This window comes from Homo sapiens, chromosome 17 (assembly GCF_000001405.40).
Source record: "Homo sapiens chromosome 17, GRCh38.p14 Primary Assembly".
NCBI lineage: Eukaryota > Metazoa > Chordata > Mammalia > Primates > Hominidae > Homo > Homo sapiens.
The window spans coordinates 39,822,659-39,845,344 of NC_000017.11; the positions used below are offsets into that span (position 1 = coordinate 39,822,659).

Below are 22,686 nucleotides of genomic sequence, written 5' to 3' on the forward strand. Positions count from 1 at the left end.
TGCAAGCTCCGCCTCCTGGATTCACACCATTCTCCTGCCTCAGCCTCCTGAGTAGCTGGAACTACAGGTGCCCACCACCACGCCCAGCTAATTTTTTGTATTTTTAGTAGAGACAGGGTTTCACCATGTTAGCCAAGATGGTCTCGATCTCCTGACCTCATGATCTGCCTGCCTCAGCCTCCCAAAGTGCTGGGATTATAGGCATGAGCCACCGTGCCCAGCTGGGTATTTCTTCATAGCAGTGTGAGAGTGGACTAATTCAGTATATTGGCACCACAGAGAGTGGGGTGCTGCTATAAAGATACCCAAAAATGTGGAAGCAACTTTGGAACTGGGTAAAAGACAGAGGTTGGAACAGTTTGGAGGGCTCAGAAGAAGACAGAAAAATGTGGGAAAGTTTGGAACTTCCTAGAGACTTGGAGGGTTCAGAAGACAGGAAGATGTGGGAAAGCTTGGAACTTCCTAGAGACTTGTTGAATGGTTTCGACCAAAATGCTGACAGTGATATGGACAATGAAGTCCAGGCTGAGGTGGTCTCAGATGGAGATGAGGAACTGCTTGGGAACTGGAGCAAAGGTAACTTTTGCTATGCTTCAGCAAAGAGACTGGCAGTATTTTGCCCCTGCCCTAGAGATCTATGGAACTTTGAACTTGAGAGAGATGATTTAAGGTATCTGGTGGAAGAAATTTCTAAGCAGCAAAGCGTTCAAGAGGAAGCAGGGCATAAAAGTTTGGAAAATTTGCAGCCTGACAATGTGATAGAAAAGAAAAACCCATTTTGAGGAGAAATTCAAACCAGCTGCATAAATTTGCATAAGTAATGAGGTGCCTAATGTTAATTACAAAGACAATGGGGAAAATGGCTCCAAGGCATATCAGAGACCTTCACAGCGGCCCCTCCCATCACAGGCCCAAAGGTCTAGGAGGCAAAAATGGTTTCCTGGGCTGGGTCCAGGGTCACCCTGTTCTGTGCAGGCTCAGGACATGGTGCTCTGTGTCCCAGCTGCTCCAGCTGCATCTAAAAGGGGCAAAGGTACAGCTCAGGCTGTTGCTTCAGAGAGTACAAGCCCCAAGCCTTGGCAGCTTCCATGTGATGTTGAGCCTATGGGTGCATAGAAGTCAAGAATTGAGGTTTGGGAACCTCTGCTTAGATTTCAGAGGATGTATGAAAACATCGGATGTCCAGACAGAAGTTCGCTACAGGGGTGGAGCCCTCATGGAGAACCTCTGCTAGGGCAGTGCAGAAGGGATATGTAGGGTAAAACCCCCCATGCAGAGTCCCCACTGGAACACCGTGTAGTGGAGCTGTTAGAAGAGGGCCACCATCCTCCAGACCCCAGAAGGGTAGATCCATTGACAGCTTGTGTCGTGCACCTGGAAAAGCTGCAAGACACTCAACGCCAGCCCGTGAAAGCAGCTGGGAAGGGGACTGTACCCTGCAAAGCCACAGGGGCGGAGCTGCCCAAAGCCATGGGAGCCCACCTCTTGCATCAGCGTGACGTGGATGTGAGACATGGAGTCAAAGGAGATCATTTTGGAACTTTAAGGTTTAATGACTGCCCTATTGGATTCCGGACTTGCATGGGGCTTGTAGTCCCTTTGTTTTGGCCAATATCTCCCATTTGGAATGGGTATATTTACCCAGTGCCTGTACCTCCATTGTATCTGGGAAGTAACTAACTTGCTTTTGATTTTACAGACTTATAGGCAGAAGGGGCTTGCCTTGTCTCAGATGAGACTTTGGACTTGGACTTTTGGGTTGATGTTGGAATGAGTTAAGACTTTGGGGGACTGTTAGGGAGGCATGATTGTGTTTTGAAATATGAGGACATGCGATTTGAATGGGGGCCAGGGCAGAATGATATGGTTTAGCTGCGTCCCTACCCAAATCTCATCTTGAATTGTAACCCCCATTATCCCCACGTGTTGTGAGAAGGACCCGGTGGGATTGAATAATGGGGTAATTGAATTATGGAGGTGGTTTCCCCCATGTTGGTCTTGTGATAGTGAGTGAGTTCTCATAAGATCTGATGGCTTTTTTTTTTTTTTCCTTTTGAGACGGAGTCTCGCTTTGTCACCCAGGCTGGAGTGCAGTGGCGTGATCTTGGCTCACTGCAAGCTCTGCCTCCCAGGTTCACGCAATTCTCCTGCCTCAGCCTCCCAAGTAGCTGGGACTACAGGTGCCCACCACCACACCTGGCTAATTTTTTGTATTTTCAGTAGAGACAGGTTTTCACCATGTTAGCCAGGATGATCTCGATCTCCTGACCTCGTGATCCTCCCGCCTCGGCCTCCCAAAGAGCTGGGATTACGGGTGTGAGCCACCGCACCTGGCCAAGATCTGATGGTTTCATAAGTGTCTGGCATTTCCCTGCTGGCACTCGTTCTCTCCTGCCACCCTGTGAAAAGCTGCCTTCTGCCATGATTGTAAGTTTTCTGAGGCTTCCCCATCCATTTGGAAGTGTGAGTCAATTAAACCTCTTTTCTTTATAAATTGCCCAATCTTGGGTATTTCTTCATAGCAGCATGAGAACAGACTAATACACCAGGTCATGGTAAATGCCACGGTTAAGTGGTGTCTTAAGAATGTACATGTCAGATATGATATGGTAAAGTCAGTGTGGACACAAAGAAAATTAGAACAAGGCCCAGAAAGAAGTTTATCACATTCACAGGTCCCAGAGAGGTGGTTATTATGTGCTATGCAAGATCACAGGAGAAAGCACCAGTGTTGGTCAGGAGGCAGAAAAGAGGAATGAGGAAAAACCTTAGGTCAGAGCCTTAATTGGGGTTTCTGTGGAAAAGGCAAGGCAGGGCTGGGTAAACAGTTTAGGATTGGCTAGTTTTAATAATTCTGGTGGGCTCTAAAGCATAGAGATGGTCTCTGGTTGACTGGTATCTGGCCCTGGGATGACTTAGGGTAGGTGAAATATAGGCTTGGTGTGTGAGAATTGGGTAATGGCTTATGGCAAAAACCTGTGAGTACTTTCCAGCAATGACAACAATTGGATTTTGGACCAGAGAATTTCCATTTGAGGGGAAATTATTAGCCTGCTATTGAATATTAATTGAAATTGCTCTTATGATTGAAGGACAAAAAAATAATTTTAAAACCTAAAATATCAACGAAGTCTTGGGTGATGTCAGAGAAGTGTTCTAATGGGGAGAGCATTGCCCAGAAGAGTTCTATAATAACATAGAAATAGTTTATAGAGAATCATGGTACCTTAGGAATGAAAGGATGATATACTCAGGGGCAGGGATCCTCTTTTCCCCTACAATTGACTTTGGAACTATGTGAGGAGCTGCTGGATTCTATCATCACTTAGACAGTGCCCTATAAAGTAGTCTTTGACCAACAAAGAGATGCTTGATTTGTGGACGGTAGTTTTTTTGTTTGTTGAGACAGGGTCTCATTCTATCATCCAGCCTAGAGAGCAGTGACACGATCAGGGTTCACTACAGCCTCAACCTCCCAGGCTCAAACGATCCTACCACCTCAGTCCCCCAAGTAGCTGGGACCACAGGCATATGCCACCATGCCTAGCTAATTTTTAAATGTTTTGTAGAGACGAGGTCTCACTATATTGCCCAGGTTGGTCTTGAACTCCTGAGCTCAAGCAATCCTCCTGCCTTGGCCTCCCAAAGTGTTAGGATTACAGGCATAAGCCACCATGCCTGGCTGTGGATGGTAGTTTTAAGGTAAATGGACAACATCCTGTTTGGAACACCACAACTGTAATTAAAGAAGGTAAAAACAAATCAGCTTGGTGAGCTGAATAATCTGCTGTTTTCCTAGAAGTGATGGAAGAACTGAACAGTGATACATGCCCATATGTTTCAGTTTCTGATTCATGGGCAATGGCCAACAGCCTGGCCATGTGGTAAGGCAAGAGTGCAATGGAAACTTGGCATATTAAAGGGACTCTCATATGGGACAAAGCCCTGTGGAAATCACTATGGGAATTTGAGGGGTGCATTAAAGTAGGACATGTCAATGCTCGGTAAAAGACCCCCCTTCCAGATTTGGAAGCTGATCAGAACCAATTAGTAGGTATCACAGTGTGCGTGTTTGAGGTGAGCACGTGGGTCCATAAAATGAGTAGACAGGATGGGGGATGCTACAGCCACTGCAGAAGATGGGCTGAATTTGGACATATTTCCCTTGGACCTCCTGAGGCACAAAATAGCAACAAACTATTATGTCTGCCAATAAGAGAGACAGTTACTATAGGTGACTATGGGGAAGATTCCCCAGGGGGAAGACCCCACACATAGTTGGCAAGTGGATTGCATTGAAGAGCCAATGCTGGTAGTCCCAAGGGCTACAAATCATTTTTGTTTTTGTTCTTTTTTTGAGATGGAGTCTTACTGTGTCACCCAGGCTGGAGTGCAGTGGTGCAATCTTGGCTCACTGCAACTTCTGCCTCCCGAGTCCAAGCAATTCTCCTGCCTCAGCCTCCCCAGTAGCTGGGATTACACGTGAGTACCGCCACACCTGGCTAATTTTTGTATTTTTAGTAGAGATGGGGTTTAACCAGTTGGTCAGGCTGGTCTCGAACTCCCAACCTCAAATGATCTACCTGCCTCAGCCTCTCAAAGTGCTGGGATTACAGGTGTGAGTCACCACGGCCGGCCTGTTGTTGTTCTTTTGAGACAGGATCTCACTGTGTTGCCCAGGCTGGAGTGCAGTAGCAGGATCACAGCTCACTGCAGCCTCAACCTCCCAGGCTCAAGTGATCCTCCAGCCTTAGCCTCCTGAGTAGCTGGGACTACAGGCACACACCACCACACCTGGCTAATTTATTTGTATTATTATAATTTTTTTTTATAGAGATGAGGCCTCACCATGTTGCCCAGGCTGGGCCCAAATTCCTGGGCTCAAGAGATCCTCCTGCTTCAGCCTCTCAAAGTGCTGGGATTACAGGTGTGAGCCACTGCACCCAACCTATAAATTGTTTTTGACGGGGATAAACACAGACTCTGGAAGGGGCTTTGCTTACCTGGTTGTATACACAAATGGTCAGTACCACGAAAGAACCAGAACAGAAGATATTGCACCAATTTGAATGGCTGAGCCACATTTCTTTAGACTAAGGAGCACTCTACTTACAGCCCATAATGTCAAACAATGGGCAAAGAGCTATCCTCCTCAGAGTAGTAGTTTGATAGATATCTAAAATAGGGTAAGGTATAGGTGTGAAGGGTTGGTTTATGCATTTGCACAAGTGTGAGGTCACATTGAAATGAGCTAAGGGAGTGTTCCCACTAGGTAGATTCCTCTGTTTTTCTGGTGGATTAGGGAAGAGGAGGTGGGGGAGGATGCTGATATGACTATACAATTCTTGCCAAAGAGGAGGATATTGGTGTGATGACTATTCTTTTTTTCCTTCCCTACATTGTCACATCAGCTTTCTCTTTCCTACCAGATGCAGTGGTTGCAATACCAGCACTGTAATTACAAGTGCCAGAAACAGAGATGATTTCTAAAGCAAGAAAGTGTAACCGTAGCTTTAAACCTTTATGTCAGAACTCCTAAGGGCCTGATGAGGCAGGCTGTGCCTTTACCCCATCTGGCAAAATTGGGGTTAACATTGAATGCAGATGTATTGCCTAGTGGTAGAAATAGCCCACTAGTTCCGTACCTGTGTAACCCTATCCTGTATGTATGGGAGTTGACTGAGGGAGAGGTGCTTGCTAGACTAGTATTGCTGCCTACGATCTAGACCAGTGCAGTGGTCAAACCTAATATTCCTCCCAAAGGTGGGAAAGTTTGGGCATAAACAGTAAGAAGGAGGAAGAGTAGCTGAGAGTAAAGGAATGAATAAATGAGTTATGTAACAAGTCCTGTGAGTCATCCTAGCAAATTATTAAACATGTGGAGGGGAGTCCCCGATTTTGTAGCTAAGTCAGACAAAAGTGCAGGTAACCTGGGGACCTGGTACTTGAGACTGTTGTCTAAAGTAGGGAGAGTACTGTGCAGTACTGTGAGACTGAGCCTGTAACCTGTGCGGTCTACGCAAACATCAGGAATTACAATCAGAATTGAATTGAAGTGGGCTGGGTATGGTGGTTCATGCCTGTAATCCCAGGACTTTGGAAGGCTGAGTTTGGCAATCACTTGAGGTCAGGAGTTCCTGGCCAGCCTGGCCAACATGGTAAAACTCCGTCTCTATTAAAAAAAATACAAAAATTAGCCGGGCATGGTGGTGGGCGCCTGTAATCTCGGCTATTTGGGAGACTGAGGCAGGAGAATCACTAAAACATGGGAGGCGGAGGTTGCAGTGAGCCGAGATTGCGCCACTGCACTCTGGCCTGGGCGACAAAGTGAAACTCCGTCTCAAAAAAAAATAATAATAATAATTGAATTGAATTGTTGGACACCAAGTCATTGTCGGAAAACCAGAAAATTGGTTTGTTGGTGTCAGAAAACACCCCAGACAAACTTTCTACAATAAACATGTATTACTTTTATAATGGAAAATAGTCAAACATCATGTTTTAAGTGAAGTTAATATAATTGGAACACTGGATAAGCACCTTAAATTCTCAAAATTTGCTGATAACCTACAACTATGAAATGCAAATATTTGTGAAATTAACAAAACAGAATCACTCCTAACTAAACCTACAATTGCAAGTTTTCCTTGGAGAGCTGATTTCTTCTCTACACTAAGCCTAAGCAATATCTACAGGCATCAGTGTTTAGTCTGCACACTACGGCTCACCTCCTATGTCTTCATCTTCATTGGCTGGGCCTTCTCCACTGTCCACATTTTCCATTTCATGAGATTTGGTTAAACTGTAGTCATTCAAAACCGCTGCACTTTCTAAAAGATAAAAGGAATTTTAAGTATGTGGTTCAACGTTAAAGGATTTTTATAAATATATATTAAGTAGACCCCCATTTAACTTTCAGCTTCACACAATCCTTTAGTGACAGATAGTACCCCTTCACACATACCCAAAAGGGATGTATACATGAAAACTCTTGAGGTTTAGAAATAAGCCCAGGGTTCGCAGTGGCTCACGCCTGTAATCCCAGCACTTTGGGAGGCCGAGATGGGCAGATCACCTGAGGTCAGGAGTTCGAGACCAGCCTGGCCAACATGGTGAAACCCCATCTCTACTAAAAATACAAAAATTAGTTGGGCATGGCGGTGCATGCCTGTAATCCCAGCTACTCGGGAGGCTGAGGCAGGAGAATCACTTGAACTCGGGAGGTGGAGGTTGCAGTGAGCCAAGATAGCACCACTGCACTCCAGCCTGGGTGACAGAGTGAGACTTCGTCTCAAACAAAAAAAAAAGAGAAAAGAAATATGCCCAGGGTTCATGTACCCTCTGAATACACACAACTTTCTTGAATATTTCTTTCATCTGAGTTAAAGGGCACTCATGTTCCTTCTGGAGAAAAACTATCTCTCCATTGGTATATCTCACGATATTCAGTAGGATGCCATTGCTATTTATGACAAAGTAGTGACCAGAAATACTAAGCGTGCAAACACTGGCATAACCTAATTTGGGAAAGATGCTTTCCTAGGAGGAAGATCTGTAAGCTTTCTGTATGCCAAATTCTGTTTTTCCCTTCTGTTCACATTATAAATGTGATTCTGTGGAAAACATATTGGACCCCAAGTTTCTTTATTTGTTTGAACATTTACTGAATGTTGACAAGGCTACAGATATGAATAAGTCATTATGTCTTCAAGGAGCTCATACTTTGAGATATAGATAAGAGAAGCCCACAACTCTAACACATGGTAGGCTCAGACAAAGGATTAAATAAAGGAAATACAAAGTGTTATTAAAGTTCATAAGTGAAAGGGAGCAGACATAATAAAGACATGCTTAAACAAACAGCAAACTTGTTACAAAATAAGTTTAAGAGAAATGTATAATAAATATTGATAATACTAGAAGAAAAAGGAACAATGCAACTGGAATTATTTTCACATATAGGCATAGTAGCTTAACAAAAAGATGATAGCAGAAGAAATGAACTGAAAAGTTACCCTCTTTTTATCTAACTCCTTCCCAATCTTCAATAAAATATTTGCTGAGTTCCCATTAATATAAAAAATAGTCAAAGACACTGAATCCTGTGGCACTGAGGCTGGGCTGAAGTAGGGAGGTAACTAGAAGCTCTGCAGTGGCACTCCTTTCAGCTGAGCCATGACCAAACACACGCGGGAGCGAAAGAGAAACACGTTTCACAAAACCCATCACTAAGAGCCCCTGAAAATGTGGTCACCATGGACTCAGTGTTTGATTTATGAATATCTGAAGTTTCTAATTTCTGCATATTATGATGTATACTCTGTGAACTCTAAGATACCATTCTAAACAATGGTTCACTTTTCTCAAGCCTGAAATGACTAAAATATAGTGGACACCTAAACAATTAATATGAGATTTAGGTTCAGTTAAAAGATGTGATTGGCCGGGTGCGGTGGCTCATGCCTGTAATCCCAGCACTTTGGGAGGCCGAGGCGGGCGGATCACCTGAGGTTGGGAGTTCGAGACCAGCCTGACCAACGTGGTGAAACCCCGCCTCTACTAAAAATACACCAGGCATGGTGGTGCATGCCTGTAATCTCAGCTACTCAGGAGGCTGAGGCAGGAGAATGGCTTGAACCCGGGAGGCTAAGGTTGTGGTGAGCCGAGATCACACCATCGTACTTCAGCCTGGGCAACAAGAGCGAAATTCCGTCTCAAAAAAAAAAGAAAGAAAGAAAGATGTGATTACAAGTTACAGTAACACAAAAAGGCATTTCAGTGATAAATTAAATTTTGTAATATAATGTAAGCTTTGATTCACACAGTGAGTTAATCAATGGAGGACACAGAAGTTATTTTCAGGAAATAAATTATTGTAAATGTTTATAATTTATTCTAGAGCAGGGATCAGTAAACTATGGCCTGAGGTACAAGTCTGACCATAGCCTGCTTCTGTGTGGGCCCAAGAGGTAGGAATGGTTTTTACATTTTTTAAGGGTTGTAAGAAATACAAAAAATAATACGTGACAGAGACCATATGTGGCCTGCAAAGTCTAAATATTTACTATCTGGCCCTTTACAAAAAAGTTTGCAGACCACTGTTCTACAGTAAAAATCGCAAGTCATTCAAATACAAGCTACTATATTATTCAACAAAAACTGTCTTCAGAGCAATGAGCTGAAAAATCAAAAACAAACAAACAAACAAACAAACAGTGATCAACATTAGGTAGTGTATGTTTGGCCCTAAGATGCTAAAGAACTTACATGATCTAAATGGATGAGTTATTTTTTCATCAGCAACAGACAACCATATTTAAAAAAAAACACACACACATTTCCATAGCATTTTTACTGCAACCAGAATAAGCACATTCCTCTCTCTTTGGTATTTTTTTTAGTAAAGGTATATTTCCAGAGAGGAAAGACCTGATGTTACCTGCGGGCACAGACTGCTCCTGAGTGCTTTTCAGTTCCGCATTTGTTTGTATATCTGAAAAGAAAGAGGTTATAAATATTAGCTACTTAGGGTACATTTCTACAGGTTTGAGCATTCCAAATTTAATAAGGGATACCATTTCGGAAAACTTAACAGCAGAATTCCTCTTTCAGAGCAAGATTACTCTTTCTCTATATTCTCCCTAAAAGCCTTTCAAGGAGCATGAAAAAAAAATATTGATGCAGCAATGTTACTCTAAGAACTTTCTGCCAGAGATCTACTTACACCAAGAACAATATGCAAAAAGTGGGTTCCATTAGAAATAATTTCATATATTCTTTATTCTTCCCCAATATTTTATTATGAACACATAGAAAAAAAGAGTTCAAAGTGGTATATATATATATATGTACATATATATGTACATATATATAATGAAATACTATTCAGCAATTAAAAAGAATAAAATCATGTCATTTGCAGCAATATGGATGGAGCTGGAAGTCACTATGTTAAGTGAAATAAGTCAGGCACAGAAAGACAAATATCACATGTTCTCATTCATATATGACAGTAAACACGTTGATCTCATGGAGGTGGAAAGTAGAATGATAGACAGGGTGTGTGGGTGGGAATGGGGGATGAAGAGAGATTAGTTAATGGGTAAAACATATAGTTACATAGAAGGCATAAGCTCTAATGTTTGACAGCAGAGTAGGGTGACTATAGTTAACAACGACGTATTATATATTTCAAAATAGCTAGAAGAGAGGACTTGAATTGTTTCCAACACATAGAAATGATAAATACTCAAGGTGATAAACATTCCAAATTCCCTGACTTGATTATTATATATTCTATGCATGTAACAAAATATCACATGTGCCCCATAAATATGTAAAATATTATGTATCAATAAAAAATTTTAAAAAAAGAACTGCACAGTTGAACATCCATTACTCACCCTCTGGATTCTACAATTAACATTTTGCTATTTTTGCTTTCTCACATATGTTTCCACCCATTCATCTCTCAATCCATTCATCGATCCAGCTTTTTCAACGCATTGCAAAATAAGTTGCAGATATCAGTATACCTCAGTCCTAACATTTCAGCATGATTATTATTAACTAAAATTCAATATCTGTTTACAAGATTTTAAAAAGTAAATTTTACATACAGTGATATGCATGGATCTTAAGTGTACCATTCAATGAGTTTTTAAAAATGCATATCCTCATGTAATGCAAACCCCTATCAAGATACAGAACATTACCATCATCCCAGAAAAGCTCCCTCACATCTCTTCCTAGTCAATTCCCACCCACATACTCCAGAGACAACTACTGTTTTGACTTTTTCCACCATAGATTAGTTTAGCCTATTTTAGAACTTCATAAAAACAGAATCACACAGACATATGGTATAAATTATTTTGCCCGAGGCTTCTTTCACTCAACATAATGTTTTGAGATACATCCATTCTGTGGTGTTTATCAGTAGTTCATTCTTTTTTATTGCTAAGTAGTATTCCATATGAATATCCCAGTTTGTTTATCCATTCTCCTATTGATGGACACCTAGACTGTTTCCAGTTTGGGCTATTTATAAGTCAAACTACTATGATATTCCTTTTTAAAATAATAAACTTTTAAATTTTAGAGTAGTTTTAAATTTATGGAAAAATTGCAAAGATAGCACAGAGAGTTCCCATATACCCCACACCCAATTTCCCCTATTATTAACATCTTATATTAGTATGGTACATCAGTTATAATTAATGAATATATATTCATACATTATTACTATCTAAGTATTCAGATTTCCTTAGTTTTCATCTAATGTCCTTTTTCTGTTGCAGGATCCCTTCCAGGATCCCACATTACATTTAGTCATCTTGTCTCCTTAGGCTCCTCTTGGTTGGGACAGTTTCTCAGACTTTCCTTGTTTTGATGATCTTGACAGTTTTGAGTACTGGTCAGGTATTTTGTAGAATGTCCCTCAACTGGGATGTGTTTGTTTTTCTCATGATTAGACTGGAGCATGATCATCCTTGCACAAGTATTTCTGTGGTCATATGCTTTCATGTCTCTTGAGTCAATACCTAGGTGTGGAATTACTGGGTTATAGGGTAGGAGGCATATATCTAGTTTCAACACAGTGAAACTAGAACTTGTTCAAAAGTGCTTCTTCCCTCTACTTTGGGCTTAACTTACTCTGCTTCTGCCCTCTTAAGGTGAAATTTTAGTGACTGACTTTATTCCTTTCTTCTTTTCTAATTGTAAACATTTAAAGCTATAAGTTTTCCTGTAAGCATTGCTTTAGCTGCATCTCATAAATGCTGATGTTTTGATTATAATTCAGTTCTAATTTCCCTCGAGTCTTCTGTGATCCACTGGTTATTTATAAGTGTTTAATTTCCAGATATTTGGGGGAATTCGGGAATTCTTTAGCTAACTTGTTATTGAAGTCAAATTCCATTGCACTACAGTCAGAGAACACAGTCTGTGTGACTGTAGTCCTTTTAAAAGTATTAAGACTGGTGTTCTTGGTGAATGTGCCATGTGTAGTTGAGACATATGTATGTTCTGGTTTTTGTTGGTTTTCTTTGTTTGTTTTGTTTTGCTTTGCAGATCTGGCTGAGGCTTTATTTTGGAGGAAAAAAAAATGATGTAATTGTTTTGTAGCTGGAGGCATGGGCAAGGGGGGTATCCCAGGCAGTAAACTCCCCATGGGTGGGCTGAGGGTTAGGGCTGAGCCTCAGGTGGGTCTCCTGTTCCCTATACTCCCCTGCACAGTGGCCTCCTCCACAGGCTCTGGAGAAGCCATGGGAGGGGGTAGGCTGGGAGGGGCTGCTATGGCCTTTCACCTGGGCAGGACATCAGAGGACTGGGACACCAGCTTCCCATCGTGGTCTTGATCTTCTTCACAACCACAGCCCTAGAGAAGCAGGCACAGCCAAAGGAGCTGGAGCCCCCGCCAGAGCCAAAGCTGGATCCCAAGCCATAGCTGAGGCCAGGGCTTGTAAGGCCCCTGTAGGCTGAGCTCAGCCCACCTGAGTAGCCCCTGGTGGTCTTCATATGGATACTCATGCTCTGCATCCCAGACTTCAGCTGGCTCTCCTTGCCCTCCAGCAACTTCCTGTAGGTGGCGATCTCAATGTCCAGGGCCAGCTTGATGGTCATCAGCTCCTGGTACTTGAGCAGCTGACGCGCCACGTCCTGCTTGGCCCACTGTAGGGCGGCCTCCAGCTTGGACCCCCTGGCATTGGCATCCTTAATGGACCGCTCCCCACACATACACAATGGCGGCCTCCAGGGAAGCCCTCTGGCCTTTGAGGCCCTCTGTCTCAGACTGGAGCCGGCTGATGTTCCAGTTTATCTTGGAGATCTCCGTCTTTGTACAACGCAGGTCATCCTGTGCTTCCCAGGCAGGGTCTGCAGCTCCTCATACTTGATCTGGTGCATGCTGTCAGCCTTGGCCTGGCTGCGGTTGGCGATCTTCTCATACTGGGCCTCGACCTCAGCAATGATGCCGTCCGTGTCCAGGGAGCAGCTGTTATGCGTGGACAGCCCCACAGATGTGTCCAAGATCTGGGACTGGAGCTCCCAGATCTCCTCTTCATACAGCTGCCTGAGGAAGCTGATCTTGTAAGCTTGCCATCCAGGTAAGACTCCATCCAGCTCCACCCTATTCATGTATGCCTCATCCACATCCTTCTTGATGAGGACAATTTTATTCTCCATCTCTGTATGCTTACTGATCTCATCCTCGTACTTGTTCTTGAAGTCCTCCACCAGCCCCTGCATGTTGCCAAGATCTGCCTCCAGTTTCAGCTTCTCCTGGCCTAGAGTGTCCAGCTGCCACGGAGGTTTGTTGATGTAGCTCTTGGACATGTTGTCCATGCTGCTCCAAGCTGTCTTCTGCTGCCGCAGGAGGCTCTACTTGGTCTCCAGCATCTTGTTCTGCTGCTTCAGGAACCGCGATGAAGGGGGCAAACTTGTTGAGGGTCTTAATCTGCTCCTTCTCCTGAGTGCACACGGCCTGGATGTTGGGGTCCACCTCCAGCTTAAGGGGGCTCAGCAGGCTCTGGTTGACCATGATGGCTGTGATGCCTCCTATAACCACCAGCTCGGCCATAGCCTCCACCCAGACCCATGCTGGCACCCAGGACACCCTGGACACTGCTGCTGCTGCCCACTTGGGAGAAGCTCGAGGAACTGACGCAGGCACCAGGCCTACTCATGTTGGAGTGGCTGCTGAAGGTCCGGGGCCAGAGGTGGACACCCTGTAGAACTTCTGGGTCACCCTGATGGACATGGTGGAGGCGGGAGTGGAGGCAGGTGGGCAGAAACAGGGGGAGATTCAATAAGTAGTGGAGAAACTGCTTCTAGGTATTCTGCAGTTCTCAAGTGTACTGTTTAATAAATGTTAATTAAATCAAGGTAGTTGACAATGTCATTCAGATCTATGGATATACTAATTTTTGACTAGTTGTTTAGTTGCTGAAAAAGGAGTATTAAAATCTCCAAATATGACTGTTGATTTGTCTATTTCTCTCTGTTCTAGGGACTATAAAATATATCTTTAATTTTCCAGGCTTCTTAGAGTTAAAATTATACACTTCACATAAAATGTAAAAAGCTTGCAACCATTTAGGCCCATTTCCTACCCTCCAACCTTTATACTATAGTTGTCATATGTATCACATCTGCATATACTTTAAACCTTACCATACAATGCTAATTCTTGCTTTGAATAGTCATATTGTATTTTAAAGATTAAAATGAAAAAATAGTACTTTCTAATTACCCACATATTTAACATTTCTGGTGCCTTTTTTTTCTTTTTTTGAGATAGGGTCTCACTGTGTTGCCAGGCTGGAGTGCAGTGGCACAATCATGGTTCACTGCAGCCTCGACCTCCTGGGCTCAAGCAATCCTCCCACCTCAGCCTCCCAAGTAACTAGGACTACAGAAGCACCACCATGCCTGGCTAATTTAAAAAAAATTCTTTTGTAGGGACGGGGGTCTCACTGTGTTGCCCAGGTTGGTCTCAAACTCCTGGGCTCAAATGATCCTCCCACCTCAGCCTCCCAAAGTGTTAGGATTACAGGTGTGAGCCACTGTGCCTGGCCTGGTGCTTTTCATTTTTTCATAAAGATTTGAGTTCTGATCTGGTATCACGTCCCTACAGTCTAAAGAACTTTAGCATTTTTAATAGTGCAATTATCTGAGGGACTTTTCTTGTTTTCAATTATTTGCAAATGTCTTTACTTTGTCTTCAATCTTATAGGATATTTTTACTAGATATAGAATTCTGAGTTTACAGGGTTTTTTTCTTAAAACTTTTTTTTTTTTTTTAGAGACAGGGTCTTGCTTTGTTGCCAAGGCTGATCTCAAACTCCTGGCCTCAAGCCATCCTCTCACCTCAGCCTCCCAAAATGGGATTAGAGGATAAACCACCACACCTGGCCCAGTTTTTTTTTCCTTCCAGCTCTTTTAAGATGGCATTCCACTGTCTTCTGTCTTCTATTGTTTCTTTTTCTTTTTTTTTTTTGAGACGGAGTCTCACTGTGTTGCCCAGGCTGAAGTGCAGTGGTGCAATCTTGGCTCACTGCAAGCTCTGCCTCCCAGGTTCATGCCATTCTCCTGCCTCAGCCTCCCGAGTAGCTGGGACTACAGGCGCCCACCACCATGCCTGGCTAATTTTTGTATTTTTTTTTTAGTAGAGACGGGGTTTCACCTTGTTAGCCAGGATGGTCTCGGTCTTCTGACCTCATAAACTGCCTGCCTCAGCCTCCCAAAGTGCTGGGATTACAGGCGTGAGCCACCACGCCTGGCCTGTCTTCTATTGTTTCTGATGAGAAGTCAGTGATATCTTGTGTTGTTGTTTTCCTATAGGTAATGTGTTCCTTTTCTCTAAGTGCTTTCAAGATTTTTCTCTTTACTTTTGGCTTTCAGCAGTTTGACCATAATATTCCTAGCTGTAATTTTATTTGCATATATCCCACTTGGGTTCATGGAACTTCTTAAATCTGTACAGTTACGTTTTTCACCAAACTTAAGAAATTTTCAGCCATTATTTCTTCAAATATTTTTTCTGTTCCATTCTCCTCCCCTTTTCCTTCTATAAGTTCAATTATATGTGTGTTAGATCTTTTCATATTTTCCCACAGTTCCCTGAGACATTGTTGTTTTATCTCCCCACAATGCTTTTTTCTCTGATATTCAGAAGGAATAATTTCTATTTTCATATCTTCAAGTTCATTTACTCTTTCTTCTGTCATCTTAATTTGCTGTTAAGCCTATCTAATGAGTTTTCTTTTTCAGATATTGTAATTTTTAGTTCTAGAATTTCCATTTAGTTCATTTTAATTTCTCTGCTGAGGTTTTCTATTTGTTTATTAAAAGCATATTTTCCTTTATATCCTTTTCATTTTTCTCTAAATGCTTTCAAATATTTTTTCTGTTCCATTCTCCCACGCTTTTCCTTCTATAACTTCAATTACAGAAGTGTAATTACTATAGTTTATACAAGTTCTTGTCTGCCAGTTCCATTATGTATGCCATCTTGAGGTCAGTTACCATTGATTTCCTTTTCTCTTGAGTATGGGTCATATTTTCCTGCTTCTTCATATGACCACATAATTTTGGATTGTATGCTGGACCTTGTGAATGATATATTACATAAATTGTGAATTCTATATGTTCCTCTGAAGCATGTAGGAATCTTTGTTTTACTTTTTTTTTAAGAGATAGGATTTTGCTCTGTGGCCCAGGCTTGAGTGCAGTGGCATGATCATAGCTCACTGTAACCTTAAACTCCTGGGCTCAAGCAGTCCTCCTGCCTGAGTCTACTGAGTACCTAGGACTACAGGTGTGTGCCACCACATCTGGCTCTTAAAGTTTTTTGTAGTGACAGAGTCTCACTATGTTGCCCAGGCTTGTCTTGAACTCCTGGCCTCAAGGAATCCTCTTGCCTTAGCTTCCCAAAGAGCTGGGATTATAGGCATGAGCCACCATGCCCAGTCCTTTTTGTTTTAATTTTTCTTCTTTTTTTTTTTCGTATTTTTTGAAATGAAAGGTCTCATATATTTATTACTGAATGCAGTCAACCAACACGTTCATAAGAGATTCAGAGAGAAAAAATATATTCCCAATAAAACATGTTCAACTCTCCAGACAGTGGTGACATTTTCAGCTTGATATGGTAACATGATTGTGACCTTGAGACAGCATAAATATGTGTGCCATCTCATGTGCAATTCCTTACAGACTCAGCTTGGTTCTTTTCCAATGTCTCCTTTTGGAGTTGTACCTGATTTTATTACCAGTTTTCATCTAAATCCACTGCGGAATGGGAAGATTTTCCTTTTGTTTCTTGGCCAGGAATCACTTAATCCTGAAAGTCTTGTGAGAAGACATGGTGAGAAGTGGAGGCAAGCACACACCACGATGGCGGAGAAAGGAAGAGAGGACTGTTTCTTTATTTTTATTTTTTTTAGACAGGGTCTGACTCTGTTGCCCAGGCTGGAGTGCAGTGGTATGATTTGAGCCCTCTTCATCCCAGGCTCAAGCAATCCTCCCACTTCTGCCTCCTGAGTAGCCGGGACTATAGGTGCAATCACAGCTCACTGCAACCTTGACCTCCCTGGGCTCAGGTGATCCTCCCACCTTAGCCTCTCGAGTAGCTGGGACTACAGGTAGGTGTCACCATGTCCAGCTAATTTTTCTATTTTCTGTAGAGTGGGGGTCTCGCCATGTTGCCCAGGCTGGTCTCAAACTCCTGGCCTTAAGGTAATCTTCCCGCCTTGGCCTCCCAAAGTGCTAGGGTTACAGACTTGAGCCACAATGCCTGACCAGACTTTTTACTTTTTAAACCTTGCAACTAACTTGCCTTGGCTTAAACTCAAACTCCGTCTCACCTGTTGTGGGCAGCAGCTGGGGTGACCAAATGTCCCAATATGCCTGGATTGAGGGGTTTCCTAGAACACAGAACTTTCAGAGTCCCAAAGAAACTGGGATGAGTTAGTCACCTTTGCAGAAGTATAAATCTGTTTAGTTATTTTAGCCTCAGTTGGGCTATTTAGAGTGTAACTCTACACATTAGTGGATCAGCCAGAGAATTTATATCCAAAAAAGCCCTCTCTGGCTTTCTCCACTGCAGAATGTCTCCCTTCACTTCCCAGTTGCTGTGGTTGTTATGGTTTGTCAAAACTGTGGATTTTCTATCCACTCTGAGGCTGAAATGGGGCCTGCCCTTGTATAAAAGGCCATAAAACAGGCTGCTTTTGGTCATTTTTCCAGTGCTTTCAGGTGATAATTTTTTTAATATTTTGTCCAGAATCTATCATTCTTATCCGTGGAAAGGTTGGTTCAATAGGAGGTACTATTCCATTACAGAAATTAAAACTCTCCTTTGTTCTTTATTTTGACTGTGATCATTTACTCAAAACTATTTAGAAAAGTACTGATTTAAAATGGTCTATAATCAGGTCATATTCCAATTTTTAGTTTAAAAAATACAGTCACTATAGTCATATTGTATTCTAATTTAAAACTTTTAATATGTTAGCCATTAGAGGTTAGCAACAAAGCATAAAGGCAGGGGAAATACACATAGTTTAAAAATACGCAAAGGAGCAGCTTGGCATGGGATGTCAAAATCCAAGCTGGATGAGAAAAATGTCCATGCAATGAATAGGGGTAGCCCAGGGTGGGCTGCTGGAGACCAGCCAGCATGAAGAGTGTGTCCATGCAGGGTAGGCAGTGTGAATGAGGTAAGGAGGGTTTCAGGCCAGGTGTGGTGGCTCATGCCTGTAGTCCCAACATTTTGGGAGGCCAAGGTGGGCAGGTTGCTTGAGCCCAGGAGTTCAAGACCAGCCTGGGCAACATGGCGAAACCCCATCTCTACGAAAAATACAAAAATTAGCCAGGCATGTTGGCATGAGCCTGTAGTCCCAGTCACTCGGGAGGCTGAGGTGGGAGGATCACTTGAGCCCTGGAAGTCGAGGCTGCAGTGAGATGAGACAGTGCCACTGCAGTCCAGCCTGGGCAACAGAGAGATTCTGTCTGGAACAAAAAAAAAAAGGCAAGTTTCCACATGGAGGGACAGACAGCATGAAAAGTCAGAGCTCAAACAGTATAAGAGGACATGCAGGGAGGAGGACTGCCTGGCCTGGACTGCTGGAGCCTGAGAGGGAATGAAGAGGGGAATGAAGAGGGAATGAAGTGGCTGGCAGCCCCCACTAGAGGCTAAATGGAATGAGGAGAACTTCAATGCCAGGAGTAGTCCAGTGCAAAGTACCAAAACTCGAGTGGGGTGAAGAGGGCATCTACATTTTAGGGGCAGTCCTGCATGGGGCTGTCAGAGCTCAAGCAGTTGAGAAGAATGTCCACACAGAGTGGAGGCCACAGTACGGGATTATCAAAACCAAATGAGTCAAGCAGAGCAACTGTGCTGAGTAGGAGATGCCAAGTGCCAATGGGAGACTGGTTGTATTACATAGTGGAGGAATGGTCAAATAAGTAAATATAATAAGGATAATGAGAGCCAGGTTTTTCTGTGAGAGAAGGGAGTTACAAATATGGAAGCCTGTGGTCCTGTATTGGAAGTGGATGTACTGGCATGAACTCATGGCTTCTACTATATATAAAAAGATAGGCCAGGCGAGGTGACTCATGCCTGTAATCCCAGCACTTTGGGAGGCCAAGGCAGGAGGATTGCTTGATACCAGGAGTTCAAGACTAGCCTGGGCAACATAGTGAGACCCTGTCTCTACAAAAAAATATTAAAATTAGAAGGGTGTGGTGAAGTGTGCCTGTAGTCCTAGCTACTCAGGAGGCTGAAGCAGGAGAATCACTTGAACTCACAAGTTCAAGGCTACAGTGAGCTATGAAGGTGCCACTGCACTCCAGCCTGGATGACAACAAAGCAAAAAAAAAAAAAAAAAAAAAAAACCAGATAAAATATAGATGTAAATGTGTGTATATGGGTATACATAAATACAGTCCCTTTCCCCGTTCACTGAGAGCACCTAGGAACAGTGAAACTACAATAGCGTCTAGATATTAACTTCTAAATATTATTCTCCATTTAAAGGAATGAGGCTCCCTGAAGAAATGGTTTACTCCAAGATGGGCATAGTGGCTCACTCCTATAATCCCAACACTTTGGGAGGCTGAGGCAGGTGGATCATTTGAGGCCCGCCTCAGCCTCAAGTGTTTGAGACAAGACTGGCCAACATGGCGAAACCCCATCTCTACCAGAAATACAAAAATTAGCCAGGCATGGTGGCGCATGCCTGTAGTACTAGCTACTGGGGTGGCTAAGGCATGAGAATTGAAAGTATAAGTCGGGAACATTTTGCTGTGCCAGAAAGCAAGGAAGTGCTCACAGAATGAAGTGGATATCTTAAAAGTATAGAGCAGTCATCCTGAAGGGGTTTCCATTGGCCAAATCTGGGACAAGGGAGCATAAAATAATAATAGTATTAGACTATAACTCATTGGGAAAAAAACAGAAATTCATGAGTACATTCTGAGTACATTATTCATGAGTACATTATTCATGTACAAATTCATGAGTATATTATTAACATTCTGATGTTAATAAATGAATAAATTAAAAGTGTGGTGACAGATGGGATATTTATATAGTTTCAAAGTGCTTCTCTCCAAAAATACTTATTAATTACAAGGTTGAAAGAAAAGAGCACCTATATAATGGAAAAGCCTGTTCGATATCACTGTAACTGAGCAAAGTTACATGTGGTCATCATCAGTAATGGGACAAACAAAAATTATGTGCCTTCTGATAGTGAGTAGAACACAGCATCACTTCTGTGATATTCCTGCCAAATATGCAAAACACAAATCAAACCATAAAGAAACAACCAAACTCGAATTTGCAGGGATAGTTTACAAAGCAGCTGGCTTATAATCCTCAAAAGTTTCAAGGTCATGAAAGACTGAAGAACTGTTCCAGACTGAAGGAGAGGAAAGAGACATGACAACGAAAAGCAATGTGTGATCCTGAACCGAAATATCTTGTGGTAAAGAACATCACAGAAGCAACTGGAGAAACTTGAATGGGGTCTGAGGATTGAATGGTAGTAATGTTGATTTCCTGGTTTTGATGATTTTATTGTGAAGGCAGGGCACATACTCTAAAGCATAGGACAGGGATAGAGCACCGTGTCAGCAACTTACTTTAAAAACTTGCAGAAAAAAAGTTTTTTTGTGCTGTATTGCAACTTTTCTGTAAGTTCGATAGTGTTTTTTAAAAACGCTAACTATGAAACTTTCAACTGCATGCTGAAAAGATTCTTAACGGAGGGAAAAAAAAAAAGAAAGAACGAAAACTAGCTCAAAGCTTTCACATGAGCAACCTTCATGTGGGAACATCTTTTAGTCACTACACAGAAAGATGGCTTTTGATTTGGTGAACTAAAGGCAAAAGGTCTTGGTCCCCTGAATATTTTAAACCCTCTGACATTTAAATAGCTCTCAATATTTTTAAAGTGTCCTTTGTGTACTGTAAATAGCACCAGAAGTAACTGAGTGTAGTTTCGAAGAGAAAAATGAGATTCTGACTACCTTAGCATTCATAACAGGAAAATCGCTTGAACACGGGGGGCAGAGGTTACAGTGAGCCGAGATGGCACCACTGCACTCCAGCCTGGGCGACAGAGTGAGACTCCGTCTTTTAAAAAAAAAAAAAAAAAGAGATAGGAAAACCATCTGTGATCAGGTCACATGAATGTTCTTATTAGCTACTAAATTAAAACACAACAACAAGATAGATTGAAGTGTATTTCCCCCCTAAACTTCAAGGTATTTATAAGAACATGAAGCCCATTCAAAGACAGGAGTGGACAGATGGTGAAGGAACTCCCAAATGAAGACCAGAAACTTGTTAAATATTTCTAAATGCAGCAAAAACATCTTAGTTTTTAATTAATCATTTTGTAACTTCTTTACACTTCAGTCCCCCCTAACAAATCCACAAAAAGTTTCCATTTGATGGGGTCTACTGTGGTCTTTTTAATGTGTAGGCAGTCAACATAGCTTTGAAATATTTTCCAAAAGAATGCTCTACAAAGTTAAGTAGGAAGAGTCCCTATATTGCTTTTGATAGAAATATAGTTTCCTGTACTGATGTTTATACATATCTGGGGCAAATGATGGAAGAATCTTGGAGTGGGTTAATTTTGTTGAAATATAAATCTCATCAATTGTCTACATTTCTCCTGTTATTTGAACAGGGAAAGCATGCTCCTGCCTCAAGGCCTTTGCATTTACCCTTCCCCCTGACTATAATGCTTTCCTCTTAGAAGCCACTTGGCTCAATTTCTCTTTTCATTCAAGTATCTGCTTAAAAGTCACCTATTCAAACAAGGTTTACCTAATTACCCTACATAAAATGTCATCTTCCATTGTCATTTTCTTTCCTCTTACCTGCTTTATTTTTCTTTATAAAATTTTTTCATTATCACCATCATTCATTTTTTTGGGGGGGACAGAGTCTTGTTTTTTTATTTTTTATTTTTTTGCTCTTGTTGCCCAGGCTGGAGTGCAATGGTGCGATCTCGGTTCACGGCAACCTCCGCCTGCCCAGTTCAAGCGATTCTCCTGCCTTAGCCTCCCAAGTAGCTGGGATTACAGGCATGCGACACCATGCTCAACTAATTTTGTATTTTTAGTAGAGATGGGGTTTCTCCATGTTGGTCAGGCTGGTCTCGAACTCCTGACCTCAGGTAATCCGCCTGCCTCAGGCTCCCAGATCACCATCACTCATTTTTTTAAATCTGTCTTTTCCCACAAGAATGTAAGCTCCATGAGAACAGTGATGTTGTCTGTTTTGTATTGCTGTATCTTCAGCCCCTACACTAGTGTCTGCTCATGATGGACACTGAATAAATACTTGTTGAATGAACAAGTGAAGTTTTATATCTCTATTGTTGATCCCTATGAACGCACTAGATGGTTTTGCAAACTATGGCTCACTGCCTGTTATTGTACTGCCTGTGAACTAAGAATGGTTTTTACATCTTTAAATGGTTTTTAAAAATCAGAAGAATACACTTGAACATTTTACAAAATTCAAATTGCAGTGTTCATCAATAAAGTTTTATTGGAGGCCAGGCACGGTGGCTCATGCCTGTAATCCCAGCACTTCGGAAGGCTGAGGCAGGTGGATCACTTAGTCAGGAGGTCGAGACCAGCCTGGTCAACATGGCAAAA

The 22,686-nt window shown here is 42.3% G+C and overlaps 1 protein-coding gene and 2 pseudogenes across 15 annotated transcripts in view, besides 2 other annotated features; all 3 read right to left on the minus strand.

Moving 5' to 3' along the window:
• The window catches only part of IKZF3 (IKAROS family zinc finger 3), a 106,598-nt gene that overhangs the window by 64,944 nt on the left and 18,968 nt on the right, over positions 1–22,686 (minus strand). For 13 of the 15 annotated variants that reach the window (NM_001257413.2, NM_001257412.2, NM_001257411.2 and 10 more), the window contains exons 2-3: positions 9,440–9,493; positions 6,729–6,830 (exon numbers count right to left, since the gene is read on the minus strand). In NM_001257413.2, coding sequence (NP_001244342.1) covers positions 6,729–6,830; positions 9,440–9,493 — 156 coding nt within the window. The remainder of the gene's footprint in view (positions 1–6,728; positions 6,831–9,439; positions 9,494–22,686) is intronic. The other 2 variants (NM_001257409.2, NM_001257408.2) reach the window with 1 other exon arrangement.
• Positions 1,084–1,284: a silencer, noted in NCBI's record as "peak2841 fragment used in MPRA reporter construct". NCBI's record gives its function as "represses an SCP1 promoter by STARR-seq MPRAs in K562 erythroleukemia cells {active_cell/tissue: K562}" and the evidence as "EXISTENCE:reporter gene assay evidence [ECO:0000049][PMID:32103011]".
• KRT8P34 (keratin 8 pseudogene 34) lies at positions 12,066–13,835 on the minus strand (annotated as a pseudogene).
• Positions 12,738–13,237: an enhancer, noted in NCBI's record as "H3K4me1 hESC enhancer chr17:37991649-37992148 (GRCh37/hg19 assembly coordinates)". NCBI's record gives its function as "activates a minimal SCP1, AML or CMV promoter by ChIP-STARR-seq in primed H9 embryonic stem cells {active_cell/tissue: H9 hESC(primed)}" and the evidence as "EXISTENCE:reporter gene assay evidence [ECO:0000049][PMID:30033119]".
• Positions 16,514–16,915, minus strand: RPL39P4 (ribosomal protein L39 pseudogene 4; annotated as a pseudogene).